The sequence below is a fragment of the Homo sapiens genome, chromosome 12 (genome assembly GCF_000001405.40).
Source record: "Homo sapiens chromosome 12, GRCh38.p14 Primary Assembly".
Lineage (NCBI taxonomy): Eukaryota > Metazoa > Chordata > Mammalia > Primates > Hominidae > Homo > Homo sapiens.
The window spans coordinates 49,622,543-49,646,047 of NC_000012.12; the positions used below are offsets into that span (position 1 = coordinate 49,622,543).

At 51.2% G+C, this 23,505-nt stretch overlaps 3 protein-coding genes across 29 annotated transcripts in view, besides 2 other annotated features; 1 reads left to right on the forward strand and 2 right to left on the reverse strand.

Moving 5' to 3' along the window:
* The window catches only part of FAM186B (family with sequence similarity 186 member B), a 39,886-nt gene extending 39,670 nt beyond the window's left edge, over window positions 1–216 (reverse strand). Inside the window, exon 1 of one of the 2 annotated variants that reach the window (XM_047429639.1) lies at window positions 133–216. The gene's annotated coding sequence lies outside the window, so the exon portion shown is untranslated. The other variant, XM_047429640.1, reaches the window with a different exon arrangement.
* Window positions 65–154: an enhancer, noted in NCBI's record as "active region_6320". NCBI's record gives its function as "activates an Ori minimal core promoter by ATAC-STARR-seq in GM12878 lymphoblastoid cells {active_cell/tissue: GM12878}" and the evidence as "EXISTENCE:reporter gene assay evidence [ECO:0000049][PMID:35858748]".
* Window positions 104–22,123, forward strand: PRPF40B (pre-mRNA processing factor 40B). 24 transcript variants are annotated; one of them, NM_001363607.2, is made up of 26 exons: window positions 1,019–1,051; window positions 8,003–8,083; window positions 8,859–9,002; window positions 9,318–9,383; window positions 10,054–10,081; window positions 10,313–10,338; window positions 10,472–10,582; window positions 10,885–11,005; window positions 11,095–11,119; window positions 11,344–11,550; window positions 11,790–11,913; window positions 11,996–12,060; window positions 12,557–12,721; window positions 12,823–12,931; window positions 13,301–13,451; window positions 14,174–14,307; window positions 14,928–15,042; window positions 15,191–15,282; window positions 19,366–19,482; window positions 19,693–19,830; window positions 20,038–20,133; window positions 20,385–20,474; window positions 20,681–20,855; window positions 21,149–21,210; window positions 21,319–21,462; window positions 21,558–22,123. In NM_001363607.2, exons 1-26 carry the CDS (start codon window positions 1,049–1,051, stop codon window positions 21,648–21,650), a joined length of 2,682 nt encoding a protein of 893 aa, NP_001350536.2. In that variant the 5' UTR covers window positions 1,019–1,048; the 3' UTR covers window positions 21,651–22,123. The 24 variants fall into 24 exon arrangements, with proteins under 24 accessions (XP_047284634.1, XP_016874624.1, NP_001350536.2 ...); NM_001031698.3 differs by having other exon boundaries at window positions 20,388–20,474; NM_001379030.1 differs by having other exon boundaries at window positions 12,026–12,060; window positions 20,388–20,474.
* Window positions 735–1,234: a silencer, noted in NCBI's record as "silent region_4441". NCBI's record gives its function as "represses an Ori minimal core promoter by ATAC-STARR-seq in GM12878 lymphoblastoid cells {active_cell/tissue: GM12878}" and the evidence as "EXISTENCE:reporter gene assay evidence [ECO:0000049][PMID:35858748]".
* The window catches only part of FMNL3 (formin like 3), a 70,907-nt gene continuing 61,358 nt past the window's right edge, over window positions 13,957–23,505 (reverse strand). For all 3 annotated transcript variants that reach the window (NM_198900.3, NM_175736.5, NM_001367835.1), the window contains one exon: window positions 13,957–23,361. In NM_198900.3, coding sequence (NP_944489.2) covers window positions 23,273–23,361 — 89 coding nt within the window. In that variant the 3' untranslated portion in view covers window positions 13,957–23,272. The remainder of the gene's footprint in view (window positions 23,362–23,505) is intronic.

Sequence of the window (23,505 nt, forward strand, 5' to 3'; positions counted from 1 at the left end):
TTGAGACCATGTGGGTATCATTTTGATTAAACCACAAAGCATTTTCTCTCTACAGCAGCCCACAAGGGTGAATCCCACTTCCTTTTCCTCCCAGGTGTCACCTCTAACTCTTCGTGTCAGGAGTTTTTCTACCTCTCCGGAGTTCTTTGGCTCTCAGGAACCTAGCACGGCATCACGCGAGTCCCGGCTCAGGTGAGGGGGGAATAAAGGGAACAGGAAGCGCCTTTTGCGGGGCTTTGCAGGCTGGCGGTCAGCGCCTTTCTGCACCCGTGTGCCTGGGGCCTGTCACTCTCCAGCCCCAAGGCCTTCAGCGCATTCCCCGCAGAGCTCCAGGTTACAGTTTCCTCAGCCGCACAGCAAGCATGTACCTCACATTTTTAACTTCTGTCAAAGAGTGGGCCCTGCTCTCATGAGTTCAGCGCTCAGTGGGAGCCAGGTCCCAAAAGTGAACTTCAGGGTCACGCGAGAAGCACGTGTACGCCCCACAAGGGCGTGATTTCGGGGATTTGTCTTTTTTTTTTTTTTTTTCCAAGCTGCTGTGTGCTCAGTCCCTGAGACAGACCCTGCCACCTCACAGGTGCTCAACAAATAGTTCTGGAGTTAACTAACTTAAAAGTACTGTAAAAGAGCTACACAGCAAATTAAATTCGCTGTGCAGCGCAAAGGCACCCTACACACTGCGTGAACGCTTCGGCTCCTGGAGCGCCGGCGACTGCGAAGCCAGGACGCAGGCAGCGGGGAGAGGCAGAGGCGCCGGCCCCCGACCGTCAGTCAGAGGCGGGAGCAGGCGTGCCCCGCCCCCCGGGGGGCGGACCCGGGACGCGGCGGCGCGGGGGCGGGGCCTGGTTCTCCGTGCCGGGGGGGCGGGGCCGGGACCGAACACACCGGGCCGGTTGGGGCCCCGCTCGCCGGCGGGAGCCACCGGAGCCCCGGCCACGAAGGGGTGCGACCCCCCGCCGGCCCCGCCCTCCCGGCTGCGGCCTGGCCAATCAGAGCGGCTCTTACTGGCGGGTGGGCTGAGCCGGCCCAGCTGCTCGGAGGCTCTGGCATGGTAACATCCCCGCGCGGGGGTGGAGGGGCTCGGGGCGGTCCCACAGCGCCCCCTGCGGCCCGGGCCGTGGCCGATGGGGCGGGGAGGCCGCTGGGGATAGCTGGGACCCCGGGGAGGGCGAGGGAGGCCAAGGGTGAGGGAAGAGAGCCCGGGAGGGGGGATGGGGGCGGGGACTGGGGGCGAAGGGGCGGGGGAGGCCATGATGGAGCCTGGCCGGGGGCGAAAGGTGCGAGAGTGGCGGGACTGGGTGAAGAGTGGGATTGGGAGAGGTGGGGGTGGGTTCGCGGAGAAAGATCGGGAAAGAAGAGAGAGGGCGGAGATGAGGGGACTGAGGGGACCAGGGGACAGGTGGGGACCAGTTTCCCCTCCTGGGATATTTGGTGTGCGACATGCCCTTCCCCCAGCCCCAGCGCCCGTTCCCTTTGGAAGCCTGGGTGCTCCTCAGACCACTTGGGGACTCCCTGCTTCACCTTCCTGCATTTGCAAGAGCTTGTCTCCTGAGGTGGAGAGGGGGCCTCTGAAGAAAGGGGCTCCCAGCCCAGGCCATCAACAAACTAACGACTCTGTGTGACCTTGGGCAAGTCACTACCTTTCTTTGGGCCTCAGATTTCCCATCAATTTTTTTAAAAAGGAAATGCATGAAAATTAAATCCCAGATCTCTTCCAGGGTCTAAATGAATAGGTTTTTGAGGAGGAAGTTTAGGAGAATGGGTTTGGTAGGGAAGCAAAGGAAAGGATGAAGATGGAGGCGAGGCCTTGGGCTGGGGCTGGAGAAATCCCCACGGGTGCGGGGGGATGGTAGACAGAAAGCCTGCCGGGCTGGGGCTGGCTAGCCTTATCCTGTTGGAGGGATGGAAGAACTCTAAGGAGAGGAGGAGGTTGAAACCTAACTCCACAATGATGGAGACCAAAAGTAACATTCGCTTCTTCAGAGGGAGAGTGATGAGATGGCAGGATCAGAAAGAAGCAACAGGGGCCGGGCGCGGTGGCTCATGCCTGTAATCCCAGCACTTTGGGAGGCCGAGGCGGGCGAATCACCTGAGGTCAGGAGTTGGAGACCAGCCTGACCAACATGGAGAAACCCTGTCTTTACTAAAAATACAAAATTAGGCGTGGTGGCCCATGCCTGTAATCCCAGCTACTCTGGAGGCTGAGGCAGAAGAATCACTTGAACCCGGGAGGCAGAGGTTGTGGTGAGCTGAGATCGCGCCATTGCACTCCAGTCTGGGCAACAAGAGCGAAGCTCTGTCTCAAAAAAAAAAAAAAAAAGCAACAGGAAGATACTTTCTAGTAAGGCAGATCTTTGGGGAGCAAGAGGAAGAGTAGGGCTGGTCCAGGAAAGTTGGAAACTAGGATGGTCTTTGAAACGGAAGGGCAGGTGCTGTTTGGGGCAGCTGAAGAAGGGCCGCAGGTAGATCACAGGGTAACCAGCTGGTCTCTCAGCCTTTTTTTTGATGATGGCTACCACTTTCTGAGAGATGTGCCTCCCAGCCTTCATCTTCAGGAAGTGGGAATGAGTCAGACCAAGCAGACCTTGGGAACACCTGGCTCGCTGAGGATTTCTGGATTGTGTAAGGATTGGGGTTAAAAAAGAAAAAAGGAAATGTATCTGAATGTAAGCAGTATCATCTGTGGCGCCATCATCCTTGCTGGGAGGCAGCTTTGTGAACTGGTTGAAAGCACAGGCTTTGGAGTCAGACTGCTTGGATTCCAAACCTGCCTCTCCCATTTAATGTCTTGGAACCTTGGTCAGGTTACTTAATCTCTGAACCTCAGTTTCTTTATCTGTAAAATGGGAATAATAACCTCTGAGATGGTTGCCAGGATTAAATGAGTGTTTGACACAGTATCTGGCTCATAATAAGTGCTCAGTAAATATTAGCTATTAGCTGTTATCATTCCCTCTTTCTGTTTTTTTTCCTACTGCCTCTCCATTCTTGTCCTTTTCTCCTTTTATTCTTCTGAGTGCTAAGTTCTGAGATGCCCCTTAGATGTGAAGTCCCAGAAGTATTGATTGCATCTTTGGTGGTGGGAAAGGGGTGGCCCCTCACTGGCCCAGGTGAACATATGATGATCAGATGATCAAGTGTCTCTTCATCATCTCTCAGCCCACAAATGTGTTTTTGTTCCAGGGAAGACACAGGATCTGCTTCTCTTTCAGCAACCATTTCTATATCCTTCCCTGTCACTAGTTAATGTCTTCATATTCTCACCCAGAAATAAAATAAGACCCAAAGTTTTATGGCACTGCAGCAGGTAGGAGAGGGACGGGGTGTTTCAGGAAAGCAGGGACACAACACGGGAAGCTCAGCGAAGGAAGGGCTTTGGAAGTTCTGTAGTAGTTTATGTTTATTCCATTGTTCTGTCCTCTGTGGGGAACTGTCCAGAATAGGCCAGTGTCTGAATCCTGGCCAGAGGTCTTCATCCCAAGTTGAAGATGACTGTATACAGTTAGCTTTATTAGGTTTTCTCATGCCAACATTTCAATCCAATTTCCTTTTTCCAAGCCACAAAGACTTCTGCCAAGCTACCTCTCTCTGTCACAGCCTGTATGTCAGAGAATTTATACAGATGTACATATGCACACGTGTATACACTGTTTTCAAAGTGCATTTTAGGATATTCCAGTATGCAAAAATCTAATAAGGTTAGAGATGAGACTGCATTTTATCACAGCACTTTGTGTGCAGGGCCCTGACTAAACACTTGGGGGAGGTATAAAAGGAGAAAACTCAATCCCTGAATGTAGGGAAATCCCCACATGAGTGGGAGACAAGCAGTCCCACATGAAACACCCAGCAAACATTCACAGAGTAGCATGTCACTCTGCAAAGTAGTGCATCATTTATCCTGAAGGGACACAGGTAGGAGTGTGTGTATGTGTGTGGGATAGTCATAAGGGTAACCTGAAGGAGGTGAATATTGGATCATCTTGAACAAAGCATGAGACTGTAGAATAAAAGAAATGTGTTTCACTTGAGGGTAATCTAACAATTCTGTGCAAAGAGAGGAGGAGGGAAGCCATTGAGTCAGGATGAGCAAAGAAGAGTGTGGGGCGGCCTTCGTTGCAAGGCTTTGACTGTTAGATGAAAGATTTTGTAGGGTAGGCAATCGGGAACCGGTAAGTTCTCAATAAAACGTTGAATCATTGGTGATTTAACCACTTAGGTTGCAGGGGATATACTAGATTGCAAACAGACCTGTTTCATGTGGTAGGAGCTTTGCTTTTAAGGGAGGAGGGCTAGAGGGCAGATTGGATCCAGTCCCAGTTCTGTCCCTAACCAGTGGTGGCTCCTTGGACAGATTATTCCCTGAAAAAGGGGGATACCTTGGGTGACTGCCAGAGTCTCCTCCAGTTCTGACATTCTATGTTCCCTGAATAACTACTAGACCTAACTTACCAGTGGCCCCCTACTGTTTTGTAGGACTTGCCAAGACCATTTAGTCATTCAGTTAACACATACTTATTAGCACCTAGTTTGTACCCATAGATGGTGGTAAGGAAAACACAATGGGAACTGGATATGAGGTGAGCAAAAACAGATGAAGTCCCTGCCCTTCAGTGTTTTCAGTCTAGTAGGGGCCACGGATATTATATTTCATTAATTCTGAGACTCATATTTGAACATTTGTCAAGTCAGGATGCATCTTCAAATTGACAGGATATTATAATTTAATTGGCAGCATTTGTTTTTTATTCATGCCAAATAGAAAAATAATATAATCAGGATTATACAAATAACTATAAAATTCTAATGGATAATTGCCGAAGGAGAAGGTACATGGTGTTGTACAAGTATATAAAAGCGGGCTCTGACTAGTTCAGGGAGTTGGGAAAAGCTTTCGTGAAGAAATGATTGGTAGATGTGAAGTGTAGTAGGCAAGGTGTGTGGGGTTGGCAGGGCCAACCCAGTTTTCTCAGGCAAAGGTGGATGCCTGAGGTGGGAGAGCTGAGAGAAGGTGAGTAGGGCTGGAACTGAGACCCAGGAGCTCAGCATGGGGGAGATTGGCAAGGTAGCTGGGTAGCAGACCCCCTCATAGTACTGGGTAGGGGGTTTACTATTTACCCTAAGAGCAGTGGGAAGCCATTGAAGAGTTTTAAGCAGGGGGCTAACAGTCTGAGGTGCACTTTGAAGAGCTTGTTATAGCTGCTGATTGGAGTGGATGTGGGGAAAACAGTTGGGAGGCCACTGCAATTAGATGAAAAAAGATGGTGGCTTGGGCAAGATGGGTGGTGGAAAAGGAAATGGAGAGAAATGGATAGATTCAAGAAATCTTGAGGAGGTAAAGTTAACAAGACTTGGTGATTTATTGGCAAGGAAGAGGGAGTTGTGGAGAGTGACTCATAGGTTTCCATTTGGACAATTGAATGGTGTGGTGCCAGTCTCTGAGACGCTTCTGAGGCTCCCCTGGAGCCTGGTAGGACCCAAAGATGTTAGAGAGGCTCCTGAGGCAGCTTGAGATGGGAAAGTGTGACACAGAAAATTGTATTTCCTCCACTATTGATTAGTTTCTGACTTCCCATGCTGAGGAAAGCGTCAGGGGCAAGAGCAAGTCTGAATACAGAACTAAAGCAGTTGAGCACTTAGAAAAGATGAGTCACATTGGAGAGGTTTAGCTCATACCCTTTTCTTCTTAGGACAAGATGAAGGACAGTTTGTTGTTGTTGTTGTTGTTTTGTCTTTTTGAGAGTGTCTCACTCTGTCACCCAGGCTGGAGTGCAGTGGTGCAGTCTCAGCTCAATGCAACCTCCGCCTCCCAGGTTCAAGCAGTTCTCGTGCCTCAGCCTCCCCAGTAGCTGAGACTACAGGCGTGTGCCACCACACCTGGCTAATTTTTGTATTTTTAGTAGAGGTTTCACCATGTTGGCCAAGCTGGTCTCGAACTCCTTACCTCAGGTGATCTGCCCGCTTGGCCTCCCAAAGTGCTGGGATTACAGGCGTGAACCACCGCACCAGGCCAGGAACAGTTTTTTTTTTTTTTTTTTGGAGACGAAATCTCGCTCTGTCGCCCAGGCTGGAGTTGGAGTGCAGTGGCGCCTCGGCTCACTGCAAACTCCGCCTCCTGGGTTCACCTCATTCTCCCACCTCTCCCGAGTAGCTGGGACTAAAGGTGCCTGCCACCACGCCTGGCTAATTTTGTTTTTGTATTTTTAGTAGAGACAGGATTTCACCGTGTTGGCCAGGATGGCCTCGATCTCCTGACCTCATGATCTGCCCTCCTTGGCCTCCCAAAGTGCTGGGATTACAGGTGTGAGCCACCGTGCCCAGCCAGGAACAGATATTTTAAAGGCAGACATGAAGGGCGTTTTTAAATGCTGAGCATTCTCAACATAGGGGAAATTGGCAGCAGTGAGGTACCTTCTCTTCAGCCAGATACCACCTTTCCCCGGGATTCCTCCCTATCACCCCCTAACTTTCAGGCAAAGAGGCAGAAGGGCTGGGCCCTTTAGCTGCATCTCCAAGCCTCGGTTCACTTACAGTGAGTTTGTTTGTTTTTGAATGGGCAATATAGTCATATGGCTGCGTATTCAAAAGATACAAAAGCCATACAGGGAAAAGTCTCCCCTTTATCTCTGTCCCTTTCTACCATTTCTTGTGTATCATCTTTTGTCTCTGACTTTTATACAAATGATAAAAGTTTGCTGCACCTTGCTTTCTTTCCCACTTGTTAATACATCTTAGAGATCATATCGAGACAATAAGCTTCTTCATTCTTGTTTATAACTGTATAGCACTGCATTTTATGTGTATATATAATTTCATAGCTCCTTACTGGTGGCTATTTAGGCTGATTCCAATCTTCTGTTTTTACAAATAATACTGAAATGAAAACCTTAAACATACAGCATTTTGGCCATGTAGGGCTATACCTATAAAATTAATTTTTAGAAGTAGAAGGTTCTATATAGAGATTTGTTCTGTTTGTTCTTCGTTCGTTCAATATTTGCTGAATACCTATTATGTGCCAGATGCTGGTAGGTACCAGGAATACAGCTTCCAACAAGTCAGATATGATCCCTGTCTTCATGGAATGTTATTACACTCTTGTTGGGGAAAACATATCCAGGCAAACATAATAATTACAAAATTATGTACATGAGGAAACTAAAAAGGGGATCAGATAGAGAAATAGGAAGGAGCTACTTTAAATACAGTCAGGAAGTTGTCTTAAAATAAGTGATACTTAAGCTGAGAACTAAAGGATGGGATGCAGACAGCCATTAGGGGTAGGACAGGGCAACCTAAGCTGTTCAAAGCCTACATCCACAGGGAGATAGTTCAGGATTTGTAGAGGAGGGGATGGACACCAAAAAGGGGATGGAGATAAAGCCAAAGAGATGAAGTTGGCGATTGGAAGTGGAAGATGTCAAAGAAAGTAGGTGGCTAAGGATGAGGTCAGTTAGGGGAGGAAGCTGGTCATGAAGAGATGAGAATTAGGGAGACAAGCATTTTAAAGGACTAGCGACTATTTGTGTTGAGAGAGCTTTGGACTGAATCTCTGTAACTGGGATAATTAGGGGAACTAGAAAAGAGGCGACTCCCTCCCTAGATACTTTGGGAATAAAAGAGACCTCTAACTTATTTGAGAGAGGCACAGCCTTGCCCACAGGCAGGATAATGGATTAGAAGCCTTAGGTAGAGCCAGTCTGTGCCTGTAGTGAAGCCTCCTTCATCTTTTCTGTTGCTTTGACAAAATGGAAACTTTCAAAATAAAGATGACATTCAAGGGGCTCAGCCAGCTGGCTCTGAGCTGGCACAAGAGAGAGCAAAAGCACAAGAGAGAGCAAACCTACCAAGGGCTAAGGGCTTGGGGTGGGCAGGAAATCGGGCTTGAAGACCCTCCTGAATTTTGTGCTCCTTTTTCATCCTCACCACTTCTGCTTCCCTTCTGCAAAAAGCCCATCTCTGTGCCCATCCTGGGTCCTATGACTTTTCTCTCCCTCAACAGTCGGTTCCCGATTCTGGTCCCCGGCCCCCAGCAGCGCCTGCCCCCTTCCCACCGGGGCCCCCCATGATGCCACCACCCTTCGTAAGTTTTATGTCTTTCCCTGGGCTTGGCTTTTCCAGCCTGCACCCCCAACTCCCCAGCCCCTAGCCACTGCTGCATCACCAGCACAGTTTTCCTGTAATGCCCCTTTTGCTGACCTTGGAAGAGGGATGGTTTTACTTGAGCATTGGGTTGGGGAGAGCTGTTGTGAAGCCCTCAGTACATAACATTGACAATTCCCCCTTTGTCTTTTTGACCTTAGGACACACTGGGGCTAGAGGTAGGAGAAGTGGAAGGGAAAAGACCCCATTAATGTGAGGGCAGGGTGGGACTATCTATCTCTTTCACTACTCCTTACCTATGCTCTTTAAATATGCCACAGAATTCGGGCTGGAATGGCATTGGTGGTCATGAGTTGGAGAGAAAGGGATGGGAGGCAGGGGACTGGGGTACTTGGGTACCTGGATACCTGCCTTCTGCCCCTTCATCTGAGAGGCCTCTTTGGGGGAGAATTGCTGAAGAGGTGGAGCCTTCCAGTCTCAGTCTGGTGCTGTTAAACCTCCCTTATTCCTTTCCTTTCCCGTTACAATTAAGAAGCTGTGTGCTTGCCTGTTAGACCCCAGTTGTCAGTCTTTCTCAGTGGTGAGGAGGGAGGCAGTTTCATGCCTTGTGCTTCTCAAACTAAAGCCTTGGAATTGCCTCAGAGCAGGGTGGAGGGTTGGGGAGGGAGGTGGTGGATATTTCCTGACAGGTCCTCTCTACCTCTGACAAGGCGATGTCTTCCCTGCTCAGTATCTCTTCCTTTACTCATTTCCAGATGCCCCCTCCAGGGATCCCCCCACCCTTTCCTCCGATGGGGCTACCCCCCATGAGTCAGAGACCACCAGCTATCCCCCCCATGCCACCTGGCATCCTGCCCCCAATGCTTCCACCAATGGGGGCGCCACCACCACTCACACAGGTAATTGTCTCTCCTCCCCTGGGGCCTCAGAAAACCCTGTCAGTTTAGCTGGGGGTGGAGATAAGAGCGGGCATGTAGGCCTCAGAAACTGGGGAAGGAAGGGAGCTTTGGGCCAAACCCATGTGGATTTGTCTGCTGAATGACTGAGACAACTCTCAGGCAAGGTGAGAGGCCAGAATCTGGGGATTGCCTGAGGAAGTGCCCAAGTGAGGGTCATGGCTCCAGTGAGATGTCTCAGGACCCTTTGAGGTACCCTGTCCCTCCTGTTCCAGCCCTTACCTTGGTGGTTGGTTTCTGTCTTCTTTGTATCCATAGATACCAGGAATGGTACCTCCGATGATGCCAGGAATGCTGATGCCAGCGGTGCCTGTCACCGCAGCGGTAAGCACTAGGGGCCAGCAGGTAGCAGGCTCTGCCCTGCAGTCCCGTGAGTCTGACTTGGAATGCAGGACTATGACCTCCATTCTTTCCCTCTTCTCATCGCATCCACCCAGGTCCCCGGCAGCACTCCCCACACTCAAATCCTTCTCGCCAGCCATGTACTCAGCTCTTCTAGTTTCCCACTCATCCCCAAAGGCATATACATTCTCTTGTTACTCACGTGCCTTGTCCAGCTCCCTTAAGGAGCACACTTATCCTCACAGAGCCACACACTGTGGACACATGAATATAGTTCTTCACATCCTCTTTGTCCCCAGAAGAGTCAGTAGCACCTGGGGATCTTGCTGTGCCTTCTTATGCTATCGCTCAGTGTAGCAGAGTCTGGGTAGGATATAGAATTTGGCATCCACTGTGAAGGAATGAGCCTCGGGAGTTGTCTCAACAAAATACTCTCACTTGAGGAGAACGAAGAATGGAGCTGCTATGCGATTCTCCCTTGGGATCCCAGAGCTATGGCCCTGAAGGGTGGGGGAAGCCTGTTAGGGAGCAGAGATCTCTAGGAGCAGGACACATGGATTCTGGCCTGGCCTGCTTCTCCATCCCCCATGGCCTGGGTCCTGGGGGCCACTGGGCTTGGCCCCAACCCTTCCCCCTCCTCTTTCTTCGGCAGACGGCTCCGGGTGCGGACACCGCCAGCTGTGAGTCTTCTGGGGGCCTGCTCCCCCCAGGCTCGGAGGTTGGGGGGCATAGGGGAGAGGGGACCGTGGACTGGAGCCCACCCTGGATCATGCCTGTTGGGATGCCAAGGAGTCTGGGATATTGATGGGACCAGGGGACTATTTACTGGGGCTGGAATACGGGAGGCATAGGTGGGAATAAGATGGAGGTCGGAGCAAGGACTTAGTATGTATCCTTTGGCTTTTTTCTAGCTGCTGTGGCTGGGACAGGCCCTCCGGTGAGTTCTTCCAGCTCAGGGGTCTCTGGGTAGAAAGCCTGAGAGTGGGGGACTGATAGTTAAATCTTTGGGGTGAGGAGAGGCTTTGGAAAAGGGGCCTTGACCACCATTCTGTGCCCCCCCCCCCACCCAGAGGGCCCTATGGAGTGAGCATGTGGCCCCAGATGGGCGCATCTACTACTACAATGCTGACGACAAGCAGTCCGTGTGGGAGAAGCCCAGCGTGCTCAAGTCCAAGGCAGAGGTCCTGAGCTGGGCTTTCTGGCCCTTCCTTTCAGCTGCCCTGACCCTTCCAAGTCCTTGGCCTTCCCTTAGTCTCTAACCATATTCATGATGGTTCCTCTGATCCCAAGGTCCCTGACCATTCCTCACCCTCCCTGGAAATGCCTCCATAGGATCTCAAGAAGTCCACCTTCCCCAGTTTGAACCAGGCCAGGTGGTAGCTAAAGGTTCCTGTGTCCTCTACTCACTAGGTCCCCTTAGCTCCCCTGACTGGCTGGAGAACTTGCCCATCCCACTGATGGCTCCTATCCCATCCACTTGCAGCTGCTCCTGTCCCAATGTCCCTGGAAAGAGTACAAGTCGGACACAGGCAAACCTTATTACTATAACAACCAGAGTAAAGAGTCCCGCTGGACCCGGCCCAAGGATCTGGATGACCTAGAGGGTGAGATGTCCTACGGGTGGGCCAGGTCAGGAGCTCTGGGGGCTCCCTATTGCCCCTGTGACTGACTGTGTTATCTTTTCCCATCACAGTTCTAGTCAAACAAGAGGCTGCAGGGTGAGTGACTTGCCCACCTATCCATTTATAGTTGGGGCACCTGGAGTGTGGAAGTAGACTCTGTCGCCATGATCTCTACACTGTGGGAGGAAGAGCCAGCTCTGTCTCCTTGTGGAGTCATCCCCTCTGGCCCCAGTCCTTCCCAGGATAGAGAAACCAGCCAGCCCCTGAAGTCCTCCATTCTTGCTCTCCTCCTGGACACCGCCCTTCTGGCTCATCTGCAGGAAACAGCAGCAGCAGCTGCCACAGACACTTCAGCCACAGCCACCTCAGCCACAGCCTGACCCCCCACCTGTGCCTCCTGGCCCCACCCCAGTGCCCACAGGCCTCCTGGAACCTGAGCCAGGTGGGAGTGAAGATTGTGATGTGTTGGAGGCCACCCAGCCCCTGGAACAGGGGTTCCTGCAGCAGCTGGAGGAGGGCCCCAGCAGGTGAGGGCTGCCCCCCATGGCATTCCCAATGTTGGCCTCAGACTCCCAGCCTGGTTCAACCCTTGTCCTCTGCTGGGCCTCTCTCTCAGGAGGGGTTTGAAGATCTGGGTGTGACCTCTGAAGGGCAGAAAAAGGCTGCCCTGGGGAACAAGGAGGGGGTGATATGTTGCCAGGAGTTCAGGGCACTGAAAGCTGTGAGAGCTGGGGGACCCTGTGGCTGAGTCCCCTGTGCCCTCCAGTTCTGGACAGCATCAGCCACAGCAGGAGGAGGAGGAATCAAAGCCAGAACCAGAGAGGTCTGGCCTCAGTTGGAGCAACCGGGAGAAGGCAAAGCAGGCATTCAAGGAACTGCTGAGGGACAAGGTGCTGGAGTGGGGCTCCCAGGGAAGGTTTGGAGGGGGCTGGAGCGGGGCAGGCCCCATGACTCCCACCTGCTTCATTCCAGGCTGTCCCCTCCAATGCCTCATGGGAACAGGCCATGAAGATGGTGGTCACCGACCCCCGTTACAGGTAGGCCTGGGCAGAGGGAGCCAGGCCCTGTTCATGAGAGCAGCTGTGCTAGGGACTCCCTAAAAAACCCCAGCTCAACACTCAGCCCTAAGGGAACCAGAGTCAGGACAGTGATAGATTGGGTTGGGGTGCAAGGGGAAGAAAAGCTGGAGGGCCTCCAGGAGAAGGAAAGGAAAGGTATCTGACACAACACGTTCAATAAATGCTTCCTGAATTGAATCAAACGGAATTGAATTAATTGGGGAATGAGGGTGCTGGATAGGGTGACTTGAGAACCCCAAAGGAAAAGGGCCCAGTATTTGCAGTGTCTTGGAGCTGCATCTCTTCCCCTCACTTCCTGTCACCCCTACTTCTCCATGAATGGTGTTCAGATCCCAGACATCTGTGCCCTTGGAGCCCCTGCAGCCTGCAGTGTCTCATGACCCTCCAGTGTGGGCTGTGCAGAGTGGTTCGGGTGACTTCTCTATCCCCACCCCACTCCTACCCTCTATCCCAGTGCCTTGCCTAAACTGAGTGAGAAAAAGCAGGCATTCAATGCCTACAAGGCGCAGCGGGAGAAGGAGGAGAAGGAGGAGGCCCGGCTAAGGGCCAAAGAGGCCAAGCAGACCCTGCAGCATTTCCTGGAGCAGCATGAACGCATGACCTCCACCACCCGCTACCGGTCAGGGGGCCAGGCTGGGCTGGGACTTGGGAACCCTGAGAACACAAAGGTCCAGGGTCTCTGTTCTCTGTCTACCTACTCACAGCTTATATGCTCCACAGGCGGGCAGAACAGACCTTTGGGGAGCTGGAGGTCTGGGCTGTGGTCCCTGAGAGGGATCGAAAAGAGGTTTATGATGATGTCCTCTTCTTCCTGGCCAAGAAGGAGAAGGTAATGGTCCCTGGGCAGAATCCTTCAGCCCATCTCATCCTGGACTTTCCTTGTCTTTGCTTTGTTATGGACCCTCGCCATTTACTTCTCTACTTCCCCAGTGTCCCAGCTTCTGACTTGGAAGCTGGTATGGGACTTGCACATCTCATTTCTGCTCTGGGCCTATAGTCCTGGGTGTAGCAGGGAGGAGGAGTCTCTGAGAGATGGGTCTGTAACCTGTACTCCCTCCCCTTCCCTGAGACATGAAAGTCTTGAGTATGGCCTTCTTCCTAGGGTTCCCTAGCTACCTTTCCCCAGGTCCTCCTCTGCCCAGGCCTACTTGGGTAGCTCTGGCCTGCCCTGCCTCACCCTGATCCTGTGGCTCCCTAGGAACAGGCCAAGCAGCTCCGGCGCCGCAATATCCAGGCCCTAAAGAGCATCCTGGATGGGATGAGTAGTGTCAACTTCCAAACCACGTGGTCCCAGGCCCAGCAGTACCTCATGGATAACCCCAGCTTTGCTCAGGACCATCAGCTGCAGAGTAAGCCTGGGCCTCCAATCCCAGCTATCCCTTTCCCTTTCTTTACTGGACCTGGGACCCCAGAGTCTGCCTCACCCCACTCCCCTGTACCTCCTGCCCTCCCGGACACCCTAGGAGTACTCAACACTCACCCAGTCCTTGTACCTCTTTGGACTCCGGGGATACCAGAATGTTTCAGGACACCCCTCCCTCTGGGGTCCACTCTTGGCCTAGACATTTTGTGTCCTTGGAGGAAGAGCTCTGGGATAGGAATCTTAAGTCCTAGAGATGTCAATGATGATTTTAGCTCATGTGAATATGGTCTTAAAGCATCATAGAACTACAGGCCTTAATTGGTCACGTTACAATAGACTGTTGTTGGCCTGTAATTACTGATGATACTCAAATTCACTTTCTGAAATTGCATCAAAGCCTGATTGATTCCCAGTTCCCTAAGGTGTGAAACCTCAGATCCCAAGACAACCGGTTTCATGTTATGGCTTCTAATAACTGAATTCACAAGAGCTGAATACTTGCTTATTTATTCTTATACAATTAATGATCCCCTCTTAAGAACTACCATTGCAGTGGCTGCTCCCACAGAGCCCCCTCCAGGCCCTTCCCCCACCACCCTGGGTATCCCTAGCACCTGTAGGACAGCATCGTTGAAACATTAGGGGTGCTGGGGTCTGAGAGGGTATCCTGCTGGGACAATGCCCGCGGAACCTCCTGCCTGTCTTTAGACATGGACAAGGAAGATGCACTGATCTGTTTTGAGGAGCACATCCGAGCTTTGGAGAGGGAAGAGGAGGAGGAACGGGAGCGGGCCCGGCTTCGGGAGCGACGCCAACAACGCAAGAATCGGGAGGCCTTCCAGGTATCTTTGCTGTCCTTTCTAGATCAGAGCTCAGCTCTGCCCTAGAGCACAACCTCTTCACCCATTCCCTGCCCCCTTCTGGATACGCTGCCTGTTCTTTCTGTGCCTAGCCCTGTCCAAGCTCTATGAGACCTCTCTCTGCCTGCAGTCTGTTTCTGCTGTACCTCCTCAATTCTGGACTGTGCTCTTCTAGGGAGACTAGATGTATGCACCACCCAGAAACTGCCAGTAGAGAGCACCCTACAGGCATGACTTGGCAGCTAGGCCATGTTTATTTCCCTTGGTGGGGCACCCGACAGGCAGAGTTTATTCCCTCAGCTTGGGGGTGGCAGTGGTGGTGGTAGTGCTAGGGGTTACTGCAGGCAGGTTTCTGTTTCTTTGCATCCCGGGACTGGCTTGTTCTCACCTTTTTGTTCTGTCCCTCTCTGTGTATTTACTTTCTCTCTTTTTGCATTGTTCTCAGCCTTCCATCTGCATCTCTTCATCTCTGCCTCTCTTGCCTGCATTTCCTCAATCTTGATTGTCCCTGCCTCTTCCTCTGCCATTCCCTCTCTTCCCCCTCAGTCTGTGGCTCTGCCTCCCTGTCTCACTCTCCCTATAACTGGCCTCTCCCTGCTCAGACCTTCCTGGACGAGCTGCATGAGACAGGGCAGCTGCACTCTATGTCCACCTGGATGGAGCTATATCCAGCAGTCAGCACTGATGTCCGCTTTGCCAACATGCTGGGCCAGCCGGGTAAGGCAGCCAGGCTCCCCCTTCTCTGGCCTGGCTTCCTGCCCTGCCAGCCTCTCTGCACCCCCTACTACCGGCTCCTGTCCTCGGCCCAGCCCCCAGGCCTTGGGAAGCTGCCGCCCGCCAGGCCCCCCTCCCTCCCTCCTTACAGGCTCCACCCCTCTGGACTTATTCAAGTTCTATGTGGAGGAGTTGAAGGCACGATTCCATGATGAAAAGAAGATCATTAAGGACATCCTTAAGGTGAGGGAGGCTGGGGTTATGGATGGATACAGGATGGATGCAGGGCACACTCCCTGCAGAGGACTCCCTGATAAGTCCTGTTTTGCAGAAGCATTACAGCTTGGTTCAGCAGATATCTACTGTGATCCTTTACTGCACACTAGGGATACAGTAATGAATACACAATTTCTACCACAGGAGCTCATGGTCTAATAGGAAGATATACATGAGAACTGTTATACAAAGGGGCAAGTGTTATTACAGAGACAGGAATCTGAAGAACTAACATTTGAACTGTGCATTTAGAAATTTGTAGGTGGAAGAGGTTGGAGTGTACACGGGGTACTAAGAGCAAAGGCAAGGGGGTGGAAAGGGCATGCCAGGTCTGAGGAGGAAGAAGCATAGCTAATTGTAAACTGGTAGCACACAGATTGTTCTTTCTGGCCTGTACAGTGTTCTGTAAAAATTTGGAATTTGTTGCTAACATTTTAAAACCAGGAAACTTCACATAGAAAATCTGAATCTTTAGCTTCTCTTGTCAATATGGATTATCTAGCAGTACTGAGCTGGATTTGCAAGGCATTCTGCAGACTCAAGCTGAGATGCCACTTTAGAAAGGGCAAGTCATCCTTCTCACCATTCCTTAGTGCCTTCTTGATACTGTCGCAAGTGTCAGCTGCCATTTACCATCACACATGGCCTGTTGCTCTTCTTCTACTGGAGAAGAGAAATAGTTCTCAATATTTACATCTTATCAAAAGTGGAAAAGTGAGTGAGTGATGGACTAAACCTTGTGTTCCAAAAGAAAAAAACAAAGAGCATATTTCTTTATGGAAGTGAAGATTCTAATGCATTTGAGGAGATAATACAGTACAGTGGTTAGGAGCGGGACTGGAGGCAGACTGCCTACAGTAAAAGTCTAGCTTAACTGCTTGCTAGTTGTGTGACCTTGGATAGGTCACTTGACCTTTCTGACCCTGTTTCCTCATCTAAAAAATGGTGAGTGTTCCACCAGAGTACACCTAATTACAGAGATTAAATGGTACCTGGGTTGAAAGGGATCTGGAAATAAAGCTAGAAATGTCTCACTGCATATACATTTCTTTGAAGTACTGTTTTGCCTTACAAATTCACGTAGGTGTTGCATTTTAACACCATATTACCTATTTAATATAAATTTAATATTTTAAATTACTTACCATTAGGTAAGATGTATCATACTGTCCTGAGGTATCCTCTCTTTCTCTGGAACCACATGCCCCAGCTTGGAAGTAGAGCCCTGCATGTAAAGTGCCTTGAATGCTAAAATAAGAAATTTGGATTTTTCTCTCGTAAGTAATGAGGAACCGGGGAATGATCAGATTAGATGGTGTATAGTAGAACCTTTCAGTCTAGAGTACGTACTTATGTCCTTAGGGAAGGTGGTGGTGCTAGGTAGAGCAGTTCTTGAAGCCTCAAGATACTAAAACTGATAGTGGTAATTCAAATAGTCATATTCATTTCACTTATCCCCAGACCTCTCTCCTACTGTTGGGGCTACTTGGTACAAAAGTCCAAGAAGCACTAGATGCTAGGAGCTGGGTTAGAGGGATGGAAGAGGGTGAGCAGGGAGAAAAGTCAGTAGGCTGTGCAGGAATCTTGTAGGAGGTGATCCTAGCCGGGGGCAGTGGGGACAGCAGAAGAGAGCAGGCTGTAGCGCTCCAGCTGTTCTTCTGAGACACTCTGGGTTTCTATGTAGGTGCCTTGAGACAAGCAAGGGTTGGAGTTGAGTATGGGGGGATTTGGTGCTGCTTCCTGTTTTCAAGTGAAGCAGCTTGAATCTTTTTTATGCATAAAGGTTCTACATAAGATTTCTATTTTAATAAACTGTTTCTGCTGTTTAAAAAAAAAAGGGAGAATTCAACACCAGTGGGATAGAGTCACTAAGTAGAATTGATAGATTTTGTGAAATGGAGGGAAAGGAAGGAATCAGAGGTGTCAGGGCAGTGGATGATGGCACTATTGATAAGGATAAAACAAGAAGAGCAAGGCTGTAGAAAATAGGAATTCTATTTGGGGAATTACTCTCAAAGCAAATATATTTTAAAACAGAATAATCGTATAAAGTAGAAATGCCTTATCCTGGGATAGCTAAATTTTATTGGACAATTAACTTTTAGCCACAGAGTGGCTGGTTGATAGGCCTGTAGGGGCCTATCCTCACTGAGTCCTGTCTCTCCACACAACCTGAGAAAGCAACTTTTTTAGACAGTTCCCTTCCTCTTTCCCCATTTGGGTTCCTGCCTATGGAGGGCAGATGAGCCCAGGAGTCCCTCTTGCTTTCCACAGCCAGGCAGACCATGATGGTGCCTTTCATCCCATAGGATAATGCAAAGAGCCCTGGACTTAGAACAGGCAGACAGATCCGGGTCAGGGAGATCCATGGAGGATGCTCATGAGAAATATATTCTCTTGAGATCTGTTGAATTTTAAGTGTCTGAAATATCCAGTCTAGGATGTTTGAAAATCAGGAGAGATGAAGGATGAGATTGCGAGGGAGTACAGATTGGGTAGTGAAAGAGGACTAAGTGCTGTTCTCAGGAACATGCATATGCAAGAGAATAAAAGGTCAGAGAGGGTGTGACCTGGAGAGGGGAGTGTTGAAGAAGTAAGTGGTAGAGGCACTGAGGACCAGATGAGTGAGGACAAAGAAGGCGGCCTTGGATTTGGCTAGTAGACACAAGCAACCTTTGGGAGAGTAGAGTCATGGAGGTGGCATGGGGGCAGCACATGTTTTAGAGTCAGATTACTCCTGGTTGCTTATTGGCTCTGAGACCTCCGTAAGTTCCGTGTCTCTGAGCCTGTTTGCTCACCTGTAAATCAGGGATAATTCATAGGTAAGGTTGTGAGAATTAAATAACATCTGTAAAGTGTCTAATAGGTTCTCAATAAATGTTTATTCCTTTTCCTTTCTGCTGCATTTCAAGAGGTTTTGAAACAATGGAAAAGAGCAGAGGTAGTTAGCTTGATGAAGGGGAGAGCATGGTGGAAAGGATGTTCCAGGTTAGGTGAGGTGTCTGCTTGATGGAAGGAGCCAGTAACAAGGGTGACTTGGAGCTTTCAATTCCCTGAGAATGAATGCTGTGTTGATAAGGACTGTAGCAGGGTTGAGGAAGTACCCTTGGAAAGAAGAAAGAGGAGCACACCTCTGCCATCAGCAAAAAGGCCAGAGGAGGTGAGAGCTATGTGGAGGGAGAGAAAGGGAATCTGGCCTGTGCTTAACTGACGTGAGAGCCAGACTTTGAACTCCAGTGGCTTCATTTACCACTCATGTCATCTTGGGCCAACTGAGATCACTTTTCTAAGCCTCTGCTTCACTGGAATGTTGTGAGGCCTAAATGAGAAGCATAGAGCCTGGCCTGTGGACATGTTTTTAGTATTGGTGGGGAGCTGCACACCTGGTGGCCTCCGTTTCTCCCATGGACTAAGTCATCTGGGTGGGTGTGGTGCTTGAAAGCAGACACTTTGGGGATAGAGAGCCCCCCCAGGGTAGGGTTCTTGCCCAGCCGTATATCAGCTGTGAGACCTTGGGCAAGTGCTCTAGTTTCTCTGAACCTTGGTTTCTCCTTCTGTGTAAAATTAGGATACTAGGACCTATTCTTAAATGTAGAACCAAGAGGATTAAATGAGATAATGTGTGAAACACTCATCATGGTACCTGGTACATAGTAAGCACTCAATAAATAGACCCAAAGGGTAGGGGCCAGCAAATGTTGATTGAGAATGCATGGAAGCACTGCTGAGCAGCAGGAGGGCCCAGCTGGGGCCAGAGCTTTAAGCCAAAGGAACAAAAGTTAATTTTGAGAAACTCAGCATTAATCAGCAGTTGGGAGACATCTCCCAACCCCTTCAGCTCTGTGTGACATCCAAACCAAGGGTAGGCATGGGGGCTTAATTGTCAAGTGATGAGGACTTGGATAACTTGGTTTCTAATGCAGACCACAGTCCTGTGGATCTCTTCCAGAGGCAAGGGCCTTCTTGACCATCTGTAATGTGACCACTCTGCCTGCCAGCTTTGGCCTCAGGCACGTGGTGCCCCTGCTTCATGCACTGCTGTACCCACAGGACCGGGGCTTCTGCGTGGAGGTGAACACGGCCTTTGAGGACTTCGCCCACGTCATAAGCTTTGACAAGAGGGCTGCCGCACTGGACGCAGGCAACATCAAGCTGACCTTCAATAGTGTGAGGGGCTGGGCGGGGCGTGGGAAGTTCTCTAATTCATCTGTGTCTTGCTCCATTCCTTCTCACTCACTGTCCCACTGACTATATTCCCAATTCAGGGGATGGTGGTAGAAGCCCAGACCCTAACTTTCCACCTCCTAAGGTATGCCTGAGTGGGACCTGGCATCCACCCTCCTGGGTGACCCTGTTCCGTGTCCCTTCTTTCCTCAGCTGCTGGAGAAAGCAGAGGCACGGGAGAGGGAGCGGGAGAAGGAGGAGGCACGCAGGATGCGGCGCAGGGAAGCTGCCTTTCGAAGCATGCTGAGGCAGGCTGTGCCTGCTCTGGAGCTAGGCACTGCCTGGGAAGAGGTCAGGAGCGTAGCCTGGCCCCAAGCACCCCTCAAGCCTGAGGGCAGCGGTGCTTCACCACTGAGGGCCCACCCCAGTCACGTCACAGCCCTGGGCCAGCTCCAGTTCCCTTCCTTTCTCTGCCCCAGCCCTGCCCTGTGCTCATGGCGGTGTCCAGGCCAGGCTGAGTGGGGCCTAGTCTGATCAGCAGTGCTCTCCTCGTTCAAGGTCCGTGAGCGTTTTGTGTGTGACTCAGCCTTTGAGCAGATCACCCTGGAGTCGGAGCGGATCCGGCTCTTCCGGGAGTTCCTACAGGTGCTGGAGGTGAGGCAGGCTTGTCCTCTGGATCTGCCTCAGGCCCTTGAACTCATTAGACCAGTTCAACAGAGACCTCAGTGGCCTCCCTCTTACCCTTAGGGCACTCCTGGCCAGCTAAGGAAGGGGAGGCCTGAGGATCCCTGGGATAGGCAGAAGGCTCTAGTCTGAGAAAGGGAGGCAAAGCCAGATTTTAGGAAGTAGGATCCTTCCTGGGGCTAAGTCTGGTGCTGTCCTCACCCTTCTTCCTCTGCCTCTAGCAGACTGAATGCCAGCACCTCCACACCAAAGGCCGAAAGCATGGCAGGAAAGGCAAGAAGCACCATCACAAGCGTTCCCACTCACCCTCAGTGAGTAAGCGTGTAGAAGGGACATGGGGTGAAGCTGGGTTGTTTTGGGGAAATAAACACTTTGTTTTCCCCTTACAATATCTCCCTTGGAGGGAAGTTTGAGGATTCCTTTGGCCCTGGGTCCTCCTCCTCTCTCGAATTCCCAGACGAGGGCTTCTGGAGGGCAGAGAACCTCTGCACTGACATGTATCTGCTGATCTGCCCAGGGCTCTGAGTCAGAAGAAGAGGAGCTGCCCCCACCATCTCTCCGGCCCCCCAAGCGGAGGAGGCGGAACCCCTCAGAGTCAGGCTCTGAGCCCTCTTCCTCACTTGATTCAGTTGAAAGTGGGGGTGCTGCCCTTGGAGGACGGGGCTCCCCTTCCTCCCATCTTCTTGGAGCAGGTAAGCAGTTGCTGTGAGCGTAGAAGCTGGAGAACTGTTGTCCCAGACTGAGAGGATGCCCTCCACAAGCCCCAGCTCCTTTGAGGGTAGACTGGATTGGGAGGGCTGCACCTGTGGAAGTAGAAAGAACTTCCTCTACCTGCCCAAGCAAGAAGCTGGAGAAGGAAAACTGGACTTAGACTTCCTCAGAGCATGAGGTTCCTGCCTGTGAAGAATGAACAGAGGGGCTAGAACAAAGAAAAAGAGCCTGTCTTTCTCCTGTTGGGACTTAGTAGGGATTTTTCTATCTCTAGATCATGGCCTTCGGAAAGCCAAGAAACCAAAAAAGAAAACTAAGAAGAGAAGACACAAGTCGGTGAGTGAAGGAACTTCTACCTAAGCCCCTGCTATTTTGTGAGTTCTGTTCTACCTGCCTCCCAGGCTATCCACAGGAACTGAGGAGGTGGGCTCTGGACTCTTACAGAATAGTCCTGAGAGTGAGACAGACCCTGAGGAGAAAGCTGGCAAGGAGAGCGATGAGAAAGAACAAGAACAGGACAAGGACAGGGAGCTCCAACAGGCAGAGCTCCCTAACCGTTCCCCAGGCTTTGGAATCAAGAAGGAGAAGGTGAGGGGCAGGGGCCCTAGGCCAGTCAGCACGCTGGTCAAGCTTCCACGGCCCTTAGTGCAGGCTAAGGGTGAACTGTGCCTTTGCTCCAACAGACAGGCTGGGACACGTCAGAAAGTGAGCTGAGTGAGGGTGAGCTGGAGAGGCGGCGGCGGACACTCCTACAGCAGCTGGATGATCACCAGTGACCCAATGAGCTGTTCTCTGCCTCGGGTCTGTGTGAGGCCATGGCTCCTGGGCCACCCTCACCGTCTGCCTCAGACTTCTTCCTTAGTCTGGTCTGTGTCCACTTTTTCTAAAGTAACCCCACCCCCAGCACACCATTGTTGGCACCTCTCAAGGTTGCTCTTGGTGTTCAAGGGTCCCCTACTCCCTGGACTAGTGCAGTCCTTGCCCTCAGCCCCAGACCAGAGATGGGTGGTATATGCCATGTGGGGTGGGTGATGCCAGTAGATAAAAGTGTGAGAGAAGGGGTCTCCAGGGAAGAGTCACAGGCTGTTGGACGCAGCCTGGGTGGCAGAGGGCAGGGTCATCACCCTCTAGCATCAGTGCCTGCTCCTGCCTGCCCTGGCCCTGAGGCTCCACCACTTCTTCCTCCACCCAGGACCTAATGTACGTGTGTTTTGTTTTTTGTTTTTTAAATAACAATATTTATAACATGGCCAGTGACTCTTTTCCATGTGCTACTGGGGCAGGCTGGGGACTGGACACATGCCCAGCAGAGGGCACTAGTGTCTCATGGCAGGCCTGCTTCCCTTTGTGTGGCTAGAGCCCACCTAGCCGGTTCTCCTTTCCCCAGAGTTCTGATCTCATCTCCTCCAAAACAGATGCAGTGCCCCAAAGATTTCTTTTCTATCCCCATAGCCCAGGTCAGACTAAATGGCCACCCTAGCCCCCTAAGCTCAGAAAGAGGAGACAAAGTCAGGCCTGGTGCATCAAGCCTTTGTTGAGAGGGGGAGAGTCTGAGGTTTATGTACAGTAAGAGGAAAGGGAGGTGGTACATGTACAAAAAAGTGGGCCCCCACATTCCCTTCCAGGGGCAGAGGAGAAACGGGAAGGTAAGCAAATAGCCAAGACCACCATGCTCCTTGTCCCCTGCCAAAAAAAAAAAAAAAAAAAAAAAAACCGTAGCTGAGGAAAGAAGGTGAAGAGTTGGCACACCCTTTCTCCAGCCATCTGCAGAGAGTGGTTGGTGCAGAGAAGACCTCTGCTCTTCTGCCCACCTTGACAAGGACAGTGTGAGCCTAGAATGAAATGGGCAGAGAAATAAGGGCAGTGAGCCTGACATCTCTCCTCTTACCCTTATCACTAGGGCACAGCTGGCACGGCCCATGCTTCAGAGGGCCTTGCTCCTGGTAAGAGATGAACTGAGACTGGCAGGGTCCCAGGGCTCCCTAAGCCTAGATACATCTAGACCAGAGCTGACCATGGGCCTGCAAAAAGGAAGGGAAAAAAAAAGAAAGAACAGTTGCTCTCTCCTCTCATCCCTCTGGGCTCTAGTGGGAGAGATCTATGTGCCCTGTTTAGGCTAAGGCTGGAAATGGTTTTTCCTAGCCCTGAGCTGACCCTTGGTGACCCTTCAGGAAATGAAGTCAAAGACCTTGGGGGCAAAGTGCAGTACTGGAAGCACCAGGGACCTACAGACCTAGTGCCCATAGTGGCACAAGTAGAAAGATCCAGCCTCAAGAGCTGGGGCGGACATGGTTGAGAGAGCAACACAGCCCTCTCCTGAGCCCTTGGCCAATTCCAGGTCCACTGGTTGGACTTGTAGGACTCTGAGGGGTGAAGTGCTTCTGCCTCCGAGAGGGTCTCAGTGGGGGCCTGGAGCCCGAGGGGGACCACTGGGCGGTGCAGCACTCCTGGCTTGGTGGCGAACAACCATAGGCTGGCAGTGGAGGCCTGTGGGGGAAGAGAGAGACCTGTGAACAGGATGGGAGGGTGAGCCAGGACAGTGCCCTCAAGAGCAGCCCCACAGGTAGGGCCAGGGAGGAGCCAGCAGTGAGGCAGATAAACAGGAGGCTTAGATAAGGCTTGAGGGGTACC

What these genes read in the sequence shown, in the direction of transcription:
- PRPF40B (XM_006719324.5), top strand. Translation starts at nt 2,406, where the DNA reads ATGGTCTTTGAAACGGAAGGGCAGGTGCTGTTTGGGGCAGCTGAAGAA. An exon ending in CGGTGCCTGTCACCGCAGCG is followed by an intron (nt 9,384 to 10,312) that starts GTAAGCACTAGG and finishes GCTTTTTTCTAG; the next exon opens with CTGCTGTGGCTGGGACAGGC. An exon ending in CAACATGCTGGGCCAGCCGG is followed by an intron (nt 15,043 to 15,190) that starts GTAAGGCAGCCA and finishes CCCTCCTTACAG; the next exon opens with GCTCCACCCCTCTGGACTTA.